This window comes from Homo sapiens, chromosome 1 (assembly GCF_000001405.40).
Source record: "Homo sapiens chromosome 1, GRCh38.p14 Primary Assembly".
In the NCBI taxonomy this organism is placed as follows: domain Eukaryota; kingdom Metazoa; phylum Chordata; class Mammalia; order Primates; family Hominidae; genus Homo; species Homo sapiens.
The window spans coordinates 61438089-61455113 of record NC_000001.11 but is presented as its reverse complement, the minus strand read 5'-3'; the positions used below and the strand labels follow the sequence as shown (position 1 = coordinate 61455113).

The 17025-nt window shown below is 41.4% G+C and overlaps 1 protein-coding gene across 4 annotated transcripts in view, besides 1 other annotated feature; it reads right to left on the bottom strand.

The window, feature by feature from the left end:
* NFIA (nuclear factor I A) overlaps positions 1-17025 on the bottom strand; it is a 385562-nt gene that overhangs the window by 7675 nt on the left and 360862 nt on the right. The gene's annotated exons all lie outside the window — the stretch shown is intronic.
* Positions 596-2991: an enhancer, noted in NCBI's record as "VISTA enhancer hs1309". NCBI's record gives its function as "enhancer in: midbrain (mesencephalon)[7/7] | forebrain[7/7] | limb[5/7] | nose[5/7] | heart[5/7]" and the evidence as "EXISTENCE:transgenic organism evidence [ECO:0001131][PMID:17130149]".

Here is a 17025-nt window from a genome sequence, read left to right as displayed (position 1 = left end):
ATAATTCATTGTCTTCATTGGGGTTTTCCAACATTCTGAGTATATCTTACAGAATGAGGTATTTCTGTTCACTTGAAATACAAATAAGGGTTTTGTTAACTGATGGGGGCAGTTATAGGAGGGCAGGAAACTTGACCATCTTGTTTATCATTCAATCCTCAGTGCCTAGCCCAGTGCCTGGAATACAGAACGTTCTTAATGAAGAAGAGTTGAATGAATGGAGAATGGGTAAAGGGAGGGGTTTCATGTGGCAATGAATGGCTACTCTGATGATTTTCAACATCTCCTTTCAAATGAGGTGCAGGCACTGAAGCCATGATTGTGACACTCTCCTAACAGGCCCAGATGGTCAATAGCGACACAAGAATAAGTGGAGGTAAGGTGGAAAAAGTGCTGGACCCAGTCTTCCTGGGTGATTTTGAGCAAGTCACAGTATTTTTCCTTCCTTACATATGTAGGATTTTATGAGGGAAGATGCTCCTTTCAGCCCAATATATCTAAAATGGTATTTTCAAACATGAAACATAATAACTAAGTAGGATCAAGATTTTACTCTATTAAGTACCACATTGTCCAAAGGAAAAATGAGGCCACTGCGTACCCTTCATTCATGCTTGCGTCCATGCAGCATTTATTTAGAGCCTTCTGTGTGCCTGCCAGGCCCAGTTACTGGTTACCTTTTCCTTTCGTAAATCCTTAGGTGGTTAGCTTTGAGCAATTGTCTGGTCATATATCACTTTATCTGCTGGCATTTCTTTTTCTGTTAGCTAGACAGAATGAGCAATTATGGACTAACATCAGAGTTAGTTTCTCCAGTGAAATAAAAAAGTATGTGGCTTTTGCCGACTTTTCTCTAGAGATACCTTGACAAATTCACTACATTTATCATTATTTACAGAAAAATTACCAAGGCCTAACAAAAACCAATGCTTCTGAATTCTTTAAGTTGACGGTATCAGAAAGGGTTCTAATTGGGTTGCTTCAGGCAGGTGAAGGATCATCCCTGTGGAAGAGATTCCATTAGGTAATGTAAGGACTCATTTGGTCCCCAGGGATGAATGGCTAAGTGATAGCTACATGGAGTTTGGTATAAGATTTCCTAGTCACACAAGCCACCTTTGATTTCCAGAGGAGTTTAAAAAACTTAAGCCCAGACCGAAAAACTACGCATCCTGTAGACTTTCAGATGTTATTCTTTGACCACATGCTTTGAGGAACACAATAAAGCCTCTTGTGTCCTGAAAGGAAATCAGCCTGGCAAATACACATGGCCTAAATCTAGCTGGACAAAAGAAAGAAGAGGGGGAGAGAAAGGAGAGAGAAAGCAAACCCCAAACTGTGTTTCTAGTAGGCCTCTACCTAACAGCTGACTCTCATCCACGTTAGAGCCGCTTCCTCCCTTCTACAAAACAGGTTCAAACTTTGGGTGCGGGGAATAATGCTTACTATTTCTGTTTTCACACTTTCTAAGTCGGTTGTGAAATTCCAGACTTCTTCAATCTGACACTAAGGTAGTTCTTGAAGCAAAGGCCTGGCACCCAGTGAGTCAGCAGGGGGAGCAGTTCTCCACACCACAGTTTCTGGACGAGACCTCAGGGCACTACAAAAATCTGCAGTGCCTCTGCACTTCTCTTAAAAAGCAAAGCAAAAAAAAAAAAAAAAAAAAAAAAGTTTCTTCACACATCTTACTATTCAGTATGTGCCTTGCCGACAAGGTTACCCCAGAGCAGCTCTGTAATCCTTCACTGAAATAGGCTTTATTGATTGCTCTGGTCTATTGTTCTCTTTTCAAGTCCCCCAAGTTCAAGTTCATCCTGGTGTTACATCATGTCTGGTTGCTAAGAGCAACCAGACAGACCCAGACGTGACTATCATTAGCAAGAAACCCTCTGCTCTCCTCCCACCAACCTTCCAGTGGTTCTGACGTAGCAGGCCCACTGCAAACACATTGAAGTATTTATTCTGCCTAATTTATGACCTACACAGCAAGCAAGACCCCCACTCCAAAAACCAACATTGTTGTATATTTAATTAATCTGTCTTTCTCTGGCACTTGGGAAAGTTAGACAAAGGACTAATTATTGTGTTTCACTCTGCACACTTTTCTTTTGGGGGGTGGATATTTGCATGGGAAAGAAAACTACAAGGCCCAGCATCAGCCCCCCACCTCTTTTTCTTTTTGCCCTATTGACATTTCATGAAATACTTTAGCTGCTTAAGGGAATTAGAAAAAAAAAATGCGATGTGAATGTTACTCCTTCTGAGTTGGTATTCAGTAACACAAATCAACTCATGACATGTTTAAATTTAAATGCTAACCACACACTCTCAGAGTTACTTTAAAGGTTAGTTTTTAATCAATAGAAGTTGCTGACTCCAGGTTTTTGGGCTGCACGCTGCAACTCTTGGGCTTTTGTCTAACGTTAAAGCTTTCAAACTTTTTTTTCCTTGAGATGATTTTAGCAATGATTTGCAGACACAGAAGGCTATTGTGCTCTGACCAGCAACATGTCAACAGAGGGGCTGAGCTGCCCTGTGGTGGGGTGTCAATATGACTCCTGAAGGCAGAGGTTGGGGGTCTTTAATAACCCGTGAAAAAACCTTAATTAACCCTTTCAGGCCCAAACCAAAACCTATTCTTAAACTTGTTCACTCCTATAATTTGACCATTAGTACTTATTTCAACATCACACTAATCTTCATGACAATTAACCCAGCTACTTGACCAAGGTTTTCCAGAACAGGAAGTTGGTTAGGGGAACCACACAGGGAATTTTTCTTTTTTGAAGTCTCTGATTAAATCATTTATTTGCAGAGATGGCAGATAGTTCTAATAATAATAATAATAATAATAATAATTCATACATCTCCCTGAATTTTCTCCTAATCAGTTTGTAAAGACACTCATAATCCCATTGGGATGAGTGTGACAGTCACACATGTGTAAGCCAGTCAATTCCTAGAAACTTCCATGAGCTGCTAGTAACACCAGATGGACAATATAATGTTTGTAAAAGCCTACTTTTCTCTTGTGATATTTTCTTATAATTTCTATTATGCAAGCAGTACAAGTTTTAGAACATTAATTGAAGAATGATTCTGCATATTTTCTTCTTGGGTCATATAGGAAAAACATAAAAGAAATCTGAGCTTATTCGATCGTTGGGGTTGAGCAGCAAATCACTGGGAAAATGGTAACACATTAAACAAAAACTATCCTCAGACATTTAGTGACATAAGCTTAGGTTTCATATGCTTTCTGCCTTCGTACTTTATAGCCCCTTAATCTACCCTACTGTATCCAAATGGACTACAAAGGAATCTCCCTCCCTATGTGCAGTGAGTGGCATTATTACAATGCAATATAGGATGATGTTATCTTGATACATTTACATTAAGTAAACACAGAGCTTTGATCTATTTTTTCCTCAGAAACTTTCAGCTATAGTTGTTGTGGAGGTCCACAAATCCACACTCCCACCAAGGCTCCAGTTACGTAAAATTAGTCGGTAACATTCACAATGTCTAGAGTTTGGGATGTGCTGAGCGGGAGTGGGGAGGGAAGTGGGGTGACTGTCCTCTTTCAATGTTCAAGGTGAAACATCAAAAGAAATCTGCAGTCCAGGACAAGAGCTCAGCTTTCCTTTTCTCCAGTCAAATGAAGAAGTAATCTCATCAGGTTGGAAAAGTGCTGACTAAGGATTTAATAAAGTGCCTGCAGATGTGGCGTCTCTAAGGTATTCAACTCATGTAATGCAAAACAGCTCCACACTGAATGTGCTTATAAAATTTCATTTAACCATTGCAGCACGACTTTTTCCCCTCACAGTTCTCTAAGGAGTTTTATCACACTTGCCGCCCGTTAATTTACAGCTCCATGAAAGTTCGAATCCCATTCCGCTGGGATTCTGGAATACTCACAGTAGTCAGGTTTTATGAACCATAAACAATATCTATCCGACTGCATCCTAAACAGGAAGCCTGAAATGGCAGAAGGTACCTCTGACGGTGCCAATCTCTTCCATTTCGTACGCCTCACAGAGAGCAATCAGAACACAGGGGCCGTCTTCCAAAATGTGGTCATGGGGCTGCTGAAGACACAGCTGATGCGGGCCATGGCCTCAACCCCTGCGTTAGCAACAAATGCTCTAATGTGTGCAACAACTTTTTAAAAGGCTTTTTACATCCTCTTTTTACTAAGAGGGCAGGATGCACATTCTAGAGGAAAAAGAAAAATGTCTGAGAAACATTTTTTGTATTTTGTATTTTACTTTAACCCCTAAAAGGAGCAGAGAGTGCTGGGGTGGCAGGGGCAGAGGGCAGAGTGGACTGTGATGCAGCAGAATCTGTTTTTCAGATTAAAAACTTAAACAAAAGGCCTCAACAAGGGCAAAGTTTAACACTGCGGAAGGAGGTTGTTAATGTGGAATCCAGAACTGGGTGTGACACTTGGCTTTCTTCTGCAGGCAAGGTGGGTTATTTGAGGACATTCACACACATAAAACGGAAATGTGCAAACACAGGCTGGCCTCCCCGCACCCTGCAGGCCCAGCTCCTCATCAGCCCCCAAAGAGGACTCAGCCAACCAATAAGCCAAGACTCCAGGAGCTGCTGTCGCTGTTGTGCATTCTCTCTTGGGGAGGTGTTAGCTTTGCACTACTACTTCACACTACTCCAGTGGGTCATTTTTGGCTTCCCGCACTTCTGTGGATGGACTAAAGCCTACTGTTTAGCCCAAATGAGTTGTCCTTGGCAAATCAGCCAAAAGCCCAGTAGTCTCTTCTGCCCATCTCAATATGATAGAAATGGATGAGGTCTCTCAGTGGACTCTGAGTTTCTCACATTCGCATAAACCATTTGGGAGCATTTATTCACTCATCCAACAAGCACTAAGGGCCTTCTATGTGCTAGGTGCTATGTATGCTGGCTCTGGGGATATAATGAGTAAAATATAGTCCCTGCCCTGTAGGACTTTCTTGTCTATCAGGAAGCAGTGGCTAGATTCTAGACCCTTCATGATACCAGATAGCCTGCTTTTCTCCCAATAGGATTTTATAAACTTCTGGCAATGAACGATGCCCAGTATCCAGTGTCCAAAGGACTCAGGATTGGTGTCACTTTTTCCACTGACCAGCAGTGTGACTTCAAGCAAGCCAGTCCCTGTCCTGGGACCCTCAGAGTCTTGTGAGGACCAGTCTGTATTCATGAGAGGCAGCAGTGATTTACACTGGTTTCTTCTGAAAAGGGTGTCATGCTGTACACAGGTGTTAGTTACTGGTACTGCCAGCCTTGGGCTTTGATCTCTGTAATCATTTTTCTTGCCTGATTTTATTTTCTTAATTAAAGAAAGTCTGTTTTCAGTAACTCCGAACCAAGACTTGTTTATTGTACAGAAAACTATTAAAACCGTAATGGGCCGGGATTGGCCCCGGCACCTTTGTGGCCTTATCTTTTCACCACTTGTCCTCAACACTTTTGTTGCCTTAAACTTCTTCCGGATCCCCCAAAGCCAAATGCTTTCTCCCTGCCAGGCCTGGGCACAGGCTGTCCCACTCCTTGGCTTTGCTAATGCTTACTAGTCCTTGGGTTCTAAGATTAGATGTCCCTTCTTCAGAGGGGTCTTTCTTGGGGCCTTTACCCTCAGGATTCTCCTCTGTCACAGTTGCTAAACTTTAATTACCTGTTTTCATCCCAGGCAAGCTGGCTATCTAAGGGATGCCAGGGTGGGCATGTAATAAATACTGTTAAATAAATAAAGGAGGGAAGGAAGAACAAGCTGTATCCGAGGTTACCAAAGCCTGGTGTCAGTCACCCCAATGAGGGCAAAGCAAGGCATCTGGATGGATGACTTCTAGCATGCTCGTGCCACATGACCATGTCTCCCCAAATGACAGACACTCTCCCTCGAGGGACACAAGTCTCCACAAGCCACTCCAGGCAGTTCCGACGGGAGAGTTGTTGCAGCGGGGCCAGTTGCGGCCAACTGCGTCAGTAGCATGTGCAATAGTTTTGTAACATGGACTGCTGCCTACTTACTACAAGCTCAGAGAAGTTGTCCAAACCACCAATCCCTGGAGAATGACTGTGCTGCTCCCAGCCAAGACCTCCGTTTGGTTCAGACCTCAAGACGGGAAAACACTAATCTTTTTACCCAATAAGCCATCCAGTACCTCCAAACCTTGAGAGTGCATACACAATCCAATTATTCTGACTGTTCATCCAAAGTCTGAATCTTTCACGAGATTCCAGCTTGCCCTAGTGTCTCTCTTACCACCAAGTACATTTTTCTTTTGGTCTCCCTTCCTTTCCATTTTTCATCACGTAACCTTTTACCTCATGAAATCAAAGACTGCTGGATTAAAAACTGCACTCCGGCCCACCGCATTTGCTCCAAGATCCTACTAGAGAGCTGTGTGCATAGCCGTAAGAGCCAGGACTCTGGGGTCCGAATGACAAAAATCCTGGCACCATTATGAACTAGTTAGATAATCTTAGGCAAGTTAGCATCACTAGGTCTCAGTTTTAGACTCCATGAAATGGAGGTAACAACTGTATCAGTTTTTGTGGGGATTAAATGCCTGGCTAGGGGCTACTACAGAAAGCCAGAAAGCCAGGGGTAGCTGGGTTCTCTCACTGTGAACGGTTTCTGGGGCCTTAGGGTCCACGTGAGACCCAACGTCCCCAGGAAAGCAAATCACTCTACAAGGCGGCTTTCTCTTATTTAATGATATAATTTCTTAGTTAAAAGTAGCAGCTGCGTCAATTCCATTTCCCCAGTTGCAAGAGAAAGTTCTTGAGAAAATAAAAATCTGTCTTTAATTGCGATATTAAAATCAGAGCGGTGAAACCCACAACACAAAAGGAATTGGCTCAAGTTTATGAAAGGCATTTGGGCCCTTGCCTTGCAAGGCTAAACTGCACGCCTTGGAGGTTGGGGGTGAGGAGAAAAGGGGAGGAAGGGAGGGGGTAGTCAGGCAACCAAGTGGGACAGAAACAATCCTATTTTGGTTTTTGTTAGCGAATGGCATACTACATAGATCAGAGACTTCTTATAAAATACAAACCCCCACTGTACACAAAGCACAGGAAAATGTGAGGAAAAAAGGGAAAAACTAAAAGCAGCTTAGGGTGTGTTAACGCTGCTATTCTGTCAGCTTAAAGAGTATTTTATGCTTGATCAACAGCTCTTTTTTATTGTGCTTTTCTTTCATTCATTCAAGACATCAAAGCCGGGCACCACCAGCGTACCTGCCCTTCTGGAGCCGCTTATGACGGGGTTCTAATGAAGCACGACTCTGGGAGCCGGAGACCCCCGTGGACACGGCAGTTCAAAGGGAATATTTCAACAATGATTACATTTTGTAAATCTTTTTATGAAAGAGACAGCTTATTTCCTGCTTTTTCATGAAAAATAGATTCTATCCATTAAATTGAGCCTGCGCCACGGAAGCTGCTTGAGATCTGAGGTGCAGCGTGGAGATTAAGGGGACAATGACCCGATGAAATTGTCCAGAGTTCCTATCTATTTGGTCATGATGGCACTGCCGGATTTTCTGGGTGGAGCCCAGACAGTGCAGTGGATGGCTCTGCTGCGGAAAATGCAGTGGCGACGGGGTTTCGCGGCTTTATTTTTCAACTTGGGCCTCATGTTTATTATCTGTTTCTTTGTATTTGTTGATTCCACAAAGTCCAACAAATATCAGAAGACAGGCCACACTTTCTATCGCATAAGAGCAAGATAAAAGATTTAAGTTACAAATTCATTAAAGGCTGTATTTTAATGCCCTGAAATGGGACAAACCCTTTTCCATATGGGAAGTTAGCCATAAAAAAGCTGGCTCCTGGTCTGAAGACACAATACAGGCTTTATGATTGGCTAATGTCTCCCCCAAAGGCAAAAAATGAAGAAGCAGCCTAGCCCTTTGTAATTTTTGATTTTCACATTAAAATAATCTTTTCCTTCACAATTTTTTTTTAAATTTTTTTGGCAGGGGGAGAGTTGAGGAGAGTGGGGAAGGAAGGGAATATGACTTCCTGGGGAGCTATGAAATGAAAAAATGTATGTTTTCTACACATCGGATTCCAATTTTAATTAAATGCCTGTTGTCTAACAAGTGCAGACAGAAACACTTGGGGTTGGCCCAATGGTGGCCCAGGGAGGTAACCTTTCTTGTTTAAAAAGAGAGGCGTGGGAGTGGAGGCCGGAGCTCAGCAGAGCGTGGCCACATTGTAATAATCATTCTACTCCGTGCCTCCTCGCTCTTGCTCTTCCCAAACATGACTCAGGTTGAGAGCCAATCAATCAAGGAGACCTTAGTGTGGATTGTGCAGGAAGATAAAGTCCAGTAAGAGAGAAAATAACATTGAAGTAAAAAGTCCAGTTATTTCAAAAATTCTCCCAGATACATCCTGCAACAGTATGCCAGAAGATCTGGCCTTTTGCCAGAAATGAATTCCCAAACCAACCTTTCCAGCCAAGAAGCCCTTCAGACACTGGATAGCATCTGCCACCTTTGGACTTCTCCACCCCAGCAGGCACTTCCACGCTCAAGCCCTGGCACAGGTCTGCTCGTTACCTCTTTAATTCTCCCCTGTCCACTGTTCCTGGTCTTTCTAGTTCCATTCTCTATCTCCTCCCACCCCTCAAGTTAGTGTCTCCCTCCCTCTCCACCTGTGTTTAATCCCTGTGCAGGAATCATGACAGACCCCTACTCTCTCCCAGGCCATGCAGACCAACAGTCCCTAAGGATTAAGATGAAGTGAAGAAGGCCTTGAGCTGCAAACCACAACCCCTGGAAGGCTTCTGTTGTGAGCCAAAGAAACAAGACATACAGGCAGCATTTGGAGAGAATGCAAAGGAAACTGTGGCATCTGCGTTTTCAGATTCATGAGAAAAGATAGTTAAGCACTGGACTGCGGGTCTGGTGGCCTGGTTCAAGTCCCAGTTCAGTCACTGGCTTGCTGAGGGGCCTGAACTTCACCAGATCTCTCTAAGGATACTACAAGATCCTGTTGCTATGCCTTTCTTTACCTTCTAGGAACACCTGCTTTTAGATATCACTGGTGCCAGGAATCATTTTTTTTTTCTAATCGTTCACAGGGTAGATGGGATATTGGGAGAGGTAAAACTGTTCCTATCTTTCATTGAGGTCAGAATGAGCTTGGCTATGGAAAAAGTCAGATCATGGAGTCAGAGATCTAAATCCTAGTTTGTAGGGAGTCAGGGGTCCAACTTTAACTTTTCTGCAAAACAGGCCTCAGGATACTAGTTATCACATCATTTGAGGGAAAAAATAAAGTTAAAAATACAAAACGACTTTCAGACACAGGCCTAAAATGTAAGGAGCATAATTACATGAGGCACTGATATAATCTAGATGGGAGGTATGTGTGTGTCAGGGTTTCACCTGAACCAACAACTCTGGATAAATACCAAACAATTTCCCTGTGCGCGGTCATAGCTCTGTGTTATCCTGAAAGCCCAAACCCGGAACCAGTGAACAATACTTTTCTCCTCCTTCTGAGGATGTGGTAGGATTTAGGGTTTTATGGCAACAAAACTTGTCTTTGTTAAGACGTGACTTGCAAAACAAACCCACATGGGAGAGTTTGCAGTTTCAAATGATAGCATTTTTTTTTTAATGCTGAAACAGCAAATGCTTTTTATGTTCAGATTTATTTCCTTCTAAATTTGTAGATTAAATTTACAACTAAGCAATATTCGTTGCTACAAACAATTAGATTCCTCCCAAATATTTCCAGGGGATATGAGGGGGAGGCTTCTTGATGGGGCTGCGGTTGGGATTTGTGCAAGGTGAAGATCCTATAGCATTGACAGTCTCCGTGAAGGGCCTTACCAACAACCTGGACATGTACATAGCATACGTGATTGGCAGAGCTGCTTGGCTTCCCTGTCAGGGATCTATGCTTCTTGGAGAGAGGTAATATCATTCTAACACAGACAATTTAATTTATTTTTTACCTTTTTAGTAGTGACTTCTGAGATGGAGATCTCGCAAGCAAAGATTATTGAAGACTGATTCAAGAATGTGTTTTATAAAATTGAGCATGCGTACAAAATCATTCTCACTTTGTTTTCGGATAAATTCCACTTGGTAGTGCTCTACCAGCAACTGAGATTTGGGAACAAACTCTCAATACACACACACAGTGCTAGTTTGAAACGGTCCCACACCTCTACTGTCACTTTATTATCAATTAATAAAATCAATTACAGATGGCATGACTGTTATATGTGGACAGGCTCTTTAAATATCCTCTTGTTAAATCGCCATATGGATAGGAAATTCTATTGTTTATTTTGCAAGAATGGTGGTAAGTTCAAATGATATATATACATATACACTTCCATTCTGATTCTGCAATCCCAAAAATCTTGCAGACATGCCAATTTGTGCTATTCTAGAAGACAGTTCAATTAAGAAATACTTTAAGATAGTTTCCTTCTTTTAAAGGAGTAAAATGTCTGAGCTAAAATGTGACTTCCTGTTCTACTGCATCAACCTTTCTGTATTGTTCTCAAGGAACACCGTTTACAAGTTCAAGTTCAGGTTTAAACTAAATAAAACACTCCTCAGGAGTTTATAACGGAGCCTCATTTACATGTGCTCCCTCTGAACTCTGCCGGCCTCTGTATGTTAGTTTCCAAGGCTTGGTGAAGGAATGTTTTACAGTTGGAATCTGGACTGCTTTCTCAGGCATTTCAGACTCAGAGGCTACGCAGCACCAAGTTCTCGTTAGTATTAAAAATTTCCTCAGGTCTACTCCAGAGGCAAAGAAGGACAGAGAGAAAGGCAGGGCAGGGGCCAGGAGAACTTTGCTTCTTAATTTTCCCTAAAAGGCATTCTAGTTAACATTATAGTTGAAAATGGCTTCTAGATGTAGATTCTAGAATCTCATGGCCATGACTTAAAATTTCTGTGCAATGAGTTTCAGCTTTCTGTGGAAATGGTCAATGCACGTTGATTCTCTTCAAATATTAAAACAAGGGTTTGCTTAAATGGTTTTTCTGCCTTGAAGATTAAGTTATGAAGAGAAATGTACCCAGCCCAAAAGAGATCCTAAACCTAAGAGGTTTTTGAGGTCAAAAAGATCTCAGGGATTTTCCAGCCAATAAAGGTGCATCAGAGAGGAAGAAATGGCTATTTTTCATTTAGAAGCAGGAAGAGTTGAAGGGGTTCTCAGATGCCCACAGGGAACCAATCTGGAGAGAGCTGATTTCCTGGCTTATTGAAATTAAGACTCAATCTTGTTGCTAAGCAAGGGTCAAGGAGTTCAGAGAAAGCAGCCATCATCTTCATGGGCAGAAATGGAAAGGGCACAGGAGAAAGAGCACCAAGGACTCTCCTTCTCAACTTCTCTCTGAATTGGAGTTTATCTATAACAGCAAGCAAGTGGGTACAGCAGTAATAAATCAATGATACTAATAGTAACTGTAACCTCAGGGCAATGCTCAAGAGTTACTTTATAGCATCTTTTCATACTGGAGCAGTCCTTTCCTGATAGGTGAGCATACCTGGCAAAACTGCAGGTTGTGGCATTCCCAGTACCCAGATTCAGCAGCTGCATCCCTGCAGAGTGACATGTGATGCGTCAGATAAATAGTTCAAGAGTAAGCACTGCTGTGGGGGTGGTGGGGTTCAGAGAAGCAATTGCATGGCTGGGGGTGGATGGACTAGGAGTGTGTGGTGAATCTGGATCTCAGTTTGCACCTCTGCTAAGAAAGGATGAAGACCACCTTGCTAGCTAGCATGGTGCTTGTGAGGATGAAATGAACTAATATTTGTGTTTTGTCTCCTAACAGGACTGTAACTGATGCTTTTTTATCTTTGGAGTTGTTGGGGTGGGGGAAGGGGATTCCTCTCTGTCTGGCGGAAGACAGAAACCTCATCTTCATGTGCTAGATCATGGCCTTTTCTTAACCTAGTGCAATATTGAGCCGTCACTTTTCTTGCATGTTCAATAATAGCACGAGCATGCTAGCTATATGCAAAGCTTTTAGTCTTTTTTCTCAATCCCCTGAACTCAACCTAGCTCAATATTAAAAAACATTAAGGGTTTTCTAAAACCAAATTAAATGTGAATATGCTTCTAAATAAAACCCTCTGCTGGAAAAATCAGAAGCTTCCTCTTACTGGATAAGGACATGAATGAAAGCGGAATCCATTTAGATGACGTTCTGCAGAAATGGATGATAAAACTGGTTTCTTTGGGAGCAGCAGTTTAGTTACAGTGATTGGGTGGAATTTGGGCTTACAATCTTAAGTTTCTCAGCCTTTAGCCAGGACTGATTGGTTGATTTCCAGAAAGAAGATAATTTGCATAAGAGATAATTTCTCATTGGTCAGTCAATTCCAAATGACTGAAAATCATGTGTTCTTTCTTTTGTGTATTTTTTCTTCTTTCTTTTTCATAAATATCTATCAAACTTTGGTTCATTTTCCACTGTCCTTTGGACCCCTGCCAATAAGGGCTGCTACAGGAAGCCTATTAAACATAACTGCTAATGTTACTTTTTTTTTTTTTTAAGCAACTCTGACAAAATGGTGAATGGGAGAAATTTGAAACTTAAAATGGTTTGCACATTTTCCTGAGGATTTAATTTATTCATGTGGATCCTAATGGTTTTGAAGACAAAATAATTTGATAGTTGATTTAATAGTTGATAGTTCAAAGTGTTTTATACTTGTTCATGTGTGGGTAGGTAGATTCAGATCTAATCTCATTTCATTTATACTGATTCTTCTGGTAAAATAGTAGTTTCATTCACCTATAATTTTCTTTAAGAAACAGAGGGCACCAACTTTGGAAGCGTGTTTGCTTGATCAAACTATGTGGAAGGTGTGGGATGAAGAGGGGAAACTATTTCCTGGAAGCGAATCTGGCACCGGGAGGAGTAACGCTTCTCTCCTGTACTCCCTTGGAGTTACCTACTCAGTGCCTGGCATCCCTCGTCAGGGCTTCATTCCGTGCCTGCTTCTGACTCAAAGCAAGCAGCCAGGAAGGGGTGCGAGGGGATAGTCCAGATTTGACAGTATTGACCCCAGGGCTGAGGAGCATTAGCGAATTCCATAATGAGTTTCATCCGGCAGTTCTTGGCTTACAAAGGTCACTGCAATGCAAGACCCAAGGGATGAGCCAAGCAAACCGCCTTCCTGGAAGACGGTGGGGGTGGGGGAAAGGGAACAATGACGTTAACAGGGGGGTGGTGTGAAGGGAGTTTGGTACATCTTCAGACTTCAAGACAGGAAAAAAATGTTTGGGAAGAGGCCAAATAAGAGATACAGCATGGCCCTAGCTAAATGGTAATGATGTAACAAAGAGCAATATTCAGCACTATCTAGATATCAGAGAGAACAACTGGATACTAAAATCATTATAAGATGTGAAATTATACCTCTCACTACTTCATTATCACTATATTTCATAATATTTGTCTAGAAAGGCACACAAAGTCTATCAGGTTAAATTAATCCTAATGATCAATTTCAGTTTTATTCTAATTAAATAATTTCAATTTAATTAATGCTAGCACAGAAATTAGTCAAAATTACAAATGTAAATGCTGAACTTTAAATCAAAGGTCCTCCCTACAACCTGCCTCATGTAGAAGCACTTTAAAGTGTTTGCCTGTGAAGGTAGATGGGAATTTTGACCTTTGTCTGCACTGTGAAGATCAGAAGATAGGAAAATATGCAAAAAAAAGCTGTCCAGGAGCATAGACGGAAGCACAGGTTACACAGACAGACAGACAGACAGACACACACACACACACACACACACACACACACACACACACACCCCTGCACGGCAGTCTATGAAAGTAAATCCTGCAAAGTGAACTTCTGAATTACATGCATTTGTTCCTTGGAATTGCAATGCGTTTGAGTCAGTCTAATGATATTGGGCTTTTATAAAACACCTTTGTAAAATGGAAACCATGCACCCATTTTCTAAGCCACATATTAAACCATTAGTCCCTTCCTTCACTCATAACAGGTCCCTGCATTTCAGTCCTGCTCTGTCTCTGATTAGCTTTGGGGCCTTGCAAGTTGTTTCAGTTCCCCAGGCTTTGGCCCCTCTTATTTGGAGGTGCTACTTTATTAAAATGATATGAACTTTATTCCAAAATATTCTTAAAGTTGTATCTGAAAAATGATGGGAGTCTGGAGTAGATAATCTTTAAGGAAATTACCAGCTTTAAGGAAATTTCTAAAACTTTTGAAAAATACTGGCATCTTAAAATGGATTTGAAAATGGTACAGGGCACATGTGTCTGAGTCATCATATAAAGACATTTAAATATCCTTTCTTCCCTCTTCATAAAAATCCAAAGTAGACAGTATCCAGAGCTCTAAAAATTTGTGGAAAAAGGAATCTGGCAAAATAGATGTTCTTTTTCCCAAAGAAAAGAAAAGAAAAAAAAAAGCATCGGGAGGAGGATACAAAAATCTGAAAGAGAAAAAAAAACACAATAAAGAGAAATACGTGTTCTTTTTTTGTACTTAAAAAACATGTACTAATGAATTATAGTTAATAACAGGTCTGTAGTGCCACTCACTCTTCATCTTAAAAGAACGTTCTACGTTATCACTGTTATCCATAAAATAGCCACAACTTCTTTCTTCAAAAGGAGGCCTTCATCCATGATCCTGCATCTCAACTTGTTCTCAACTGTATATGAGAATTACTTGGTAGCAATCAATTCACTATTACTGTTTGGGGACATTACAGAACAGCAGAGTAATTTAATAATATAGTTGATTAGTATAATAATCATCATTAAATTTAGTAATGATAGTGGGATTCCCCTTAACTTGGTTAATGATCATGGACAATTCATTTCTTGACTGCCAGTGGTAGAAATGGTTTTTGAAATATTAACTTCTGCCCCATGGGAATGACACTTAGCCCATCACATTTAATTTTTGACCTTCATTGAGCAGCACGATCCTAATCCCTTGATTTTATAATCTTAACTAGGAAACATTAAAATATGGATTGACTCCAGTTGGCAGGAATCTTTATGTTCTTTTCACTAAAAAAGCTATAAATTCAATGGTTGACCTTTTATTTCCAGGTCACAAATGACACCCACTCAGTTTTGTCCGTTCACACAGGATTTATGTTAGGGTCTACAGGTATAAGCCATGAAAGCTGAACTTTAATGAAATGTCTTTCAAAGATGTGCACTTAACCAAAAATTCCTCACAAAAAAATTAGCAGGTGGCCTTTTAAAAACAGCCATTATGTCCTCAGGTTCATTGCTGGCCTCCACTAAGTCTATTTTTCACTTGTAATAAGTTTCTCCTAATACCATTTTTCAGGGGGTACAAATTATGCTTGTGTTTGGGATGACAAGAATACCTTAGTTCCCAATTTAGGCTTCTAACCTGAAAGATTTCTGAGATGCTCTCTTTCCCATAACCACAATTCATCTCTCTCCAGTTGAAAAATGTTCCTTGTCCTTTTCACAAAATCAATCGTATTGATGGGAGGCATTCCGTGTTGTCAATCAGGGAAATGTGATTTGATGGGACCCCAAAGCAGCGAGATAGGGAGAGGAATACCAAACCTGCTCAGGTCCACACCATCGGAGTGAGATCAATGTTTCCCATAATACTCGTCCTGTCATGTGGCACCCTGTCACAATTAATAATGTAGAAGGAGCTGATTAACTTAAGTAAAGTGCTCTCTGCTGTGTAAACACATAAAGATCTATGAGGAAAAAAAAGGCGGGGGAGGGGGCAGGAGAGAACAAAACGTCATTTTTATTTTTCATGTGTACACGTTCTCACTTTCTATTCTTCTCTTGTAACAATTACTGTACCAGCCACTCTGGCAGAGTCAATAAATTGATCTGGGTCTTGATGCAGCAGCAAGGCAGACTAATCTGATACACCATTATCTACACTGGAGAGTGTGGGGGCTTGGGGGTGCACTCAGGTAACACAGGGCAAAGGGAAGGAAGTAAAGGCCAGCCAGCCTTACTCTAGATAGGTAATTGATGTTCAGTGTGGAGCTTCTGGACTAGATGGACGCATATGTAGCAGGTGTGTGTGTGTGTGTGTGTGTGTGTGTGTGTGTGTGTGTGTCTGCATGCATGTTAGGAATGGACAGAAAACGAAGCCTTCACCTTGGCTAAAGGATGCAGCCTAAGTAATACCATATGCACCACTTATTTAAGTCCCTGCGGTATTTCAGTCACTCATACCAATCTGCAATTCAATGAGGATCACCACCCCATTAGAACTAATCATGTCAGCTGTGTATCTGACAAAATAAACATTCAGAAACTGTGCTCCTAGGTTCACAACTTGTTTTTGCACTGGGATTTTTTTTTCCTTCCCTCTCTTATCCAGTATAAAATTTAATCTTTTTTTAATATGAAATTATAAGACACACAGAAGCTCTCCGTATGGATTCCTCAGTGTATTTATCCTTACAACGAGAAACTGGCGACGTTAGTTGAACTTTAACTTGCTCCTTGGGAGTATGCTAAGTATGATCTTAATACATAAATATCATTCCACTGGGTAATGAGAGAATTAATGGCACAACTTAAGGAAAATGGACACGGGAGGATGCGGTGAGAAGAGATTTAGCTCAGGGAGAACATTACCAGATTACCTCCGGGGTGCTCATCATATTACCATTTCTGTTTCTTCTTTGTGGTCACAGGCCCCTTGTCCTAAAGATAAATGAGCAGCACCCTGCCTCCAGTGCTCACAGAGGTTCCCTCCTGAGGGCTGAAAAGGCAGCACCACACACTGGCTGGGCAGGGTGCTGAGGGCTTTTCATCCTAACTAGACTGAGTCTTTACATAACTCTAAGTGGAATGCAGGCATTCATTTATAATTTTATAGATGTGACATCTGAGGGTCAGAAAGGCTAAAAATTATTCCAAGGTCACATACTGAGATCAAACTCAGGTCTGTCTCCCTCCAAAGCTTCTATTTTTTCCACTACATTATGCTGCCCAGAAGAGGAAGGTACCTCATGACC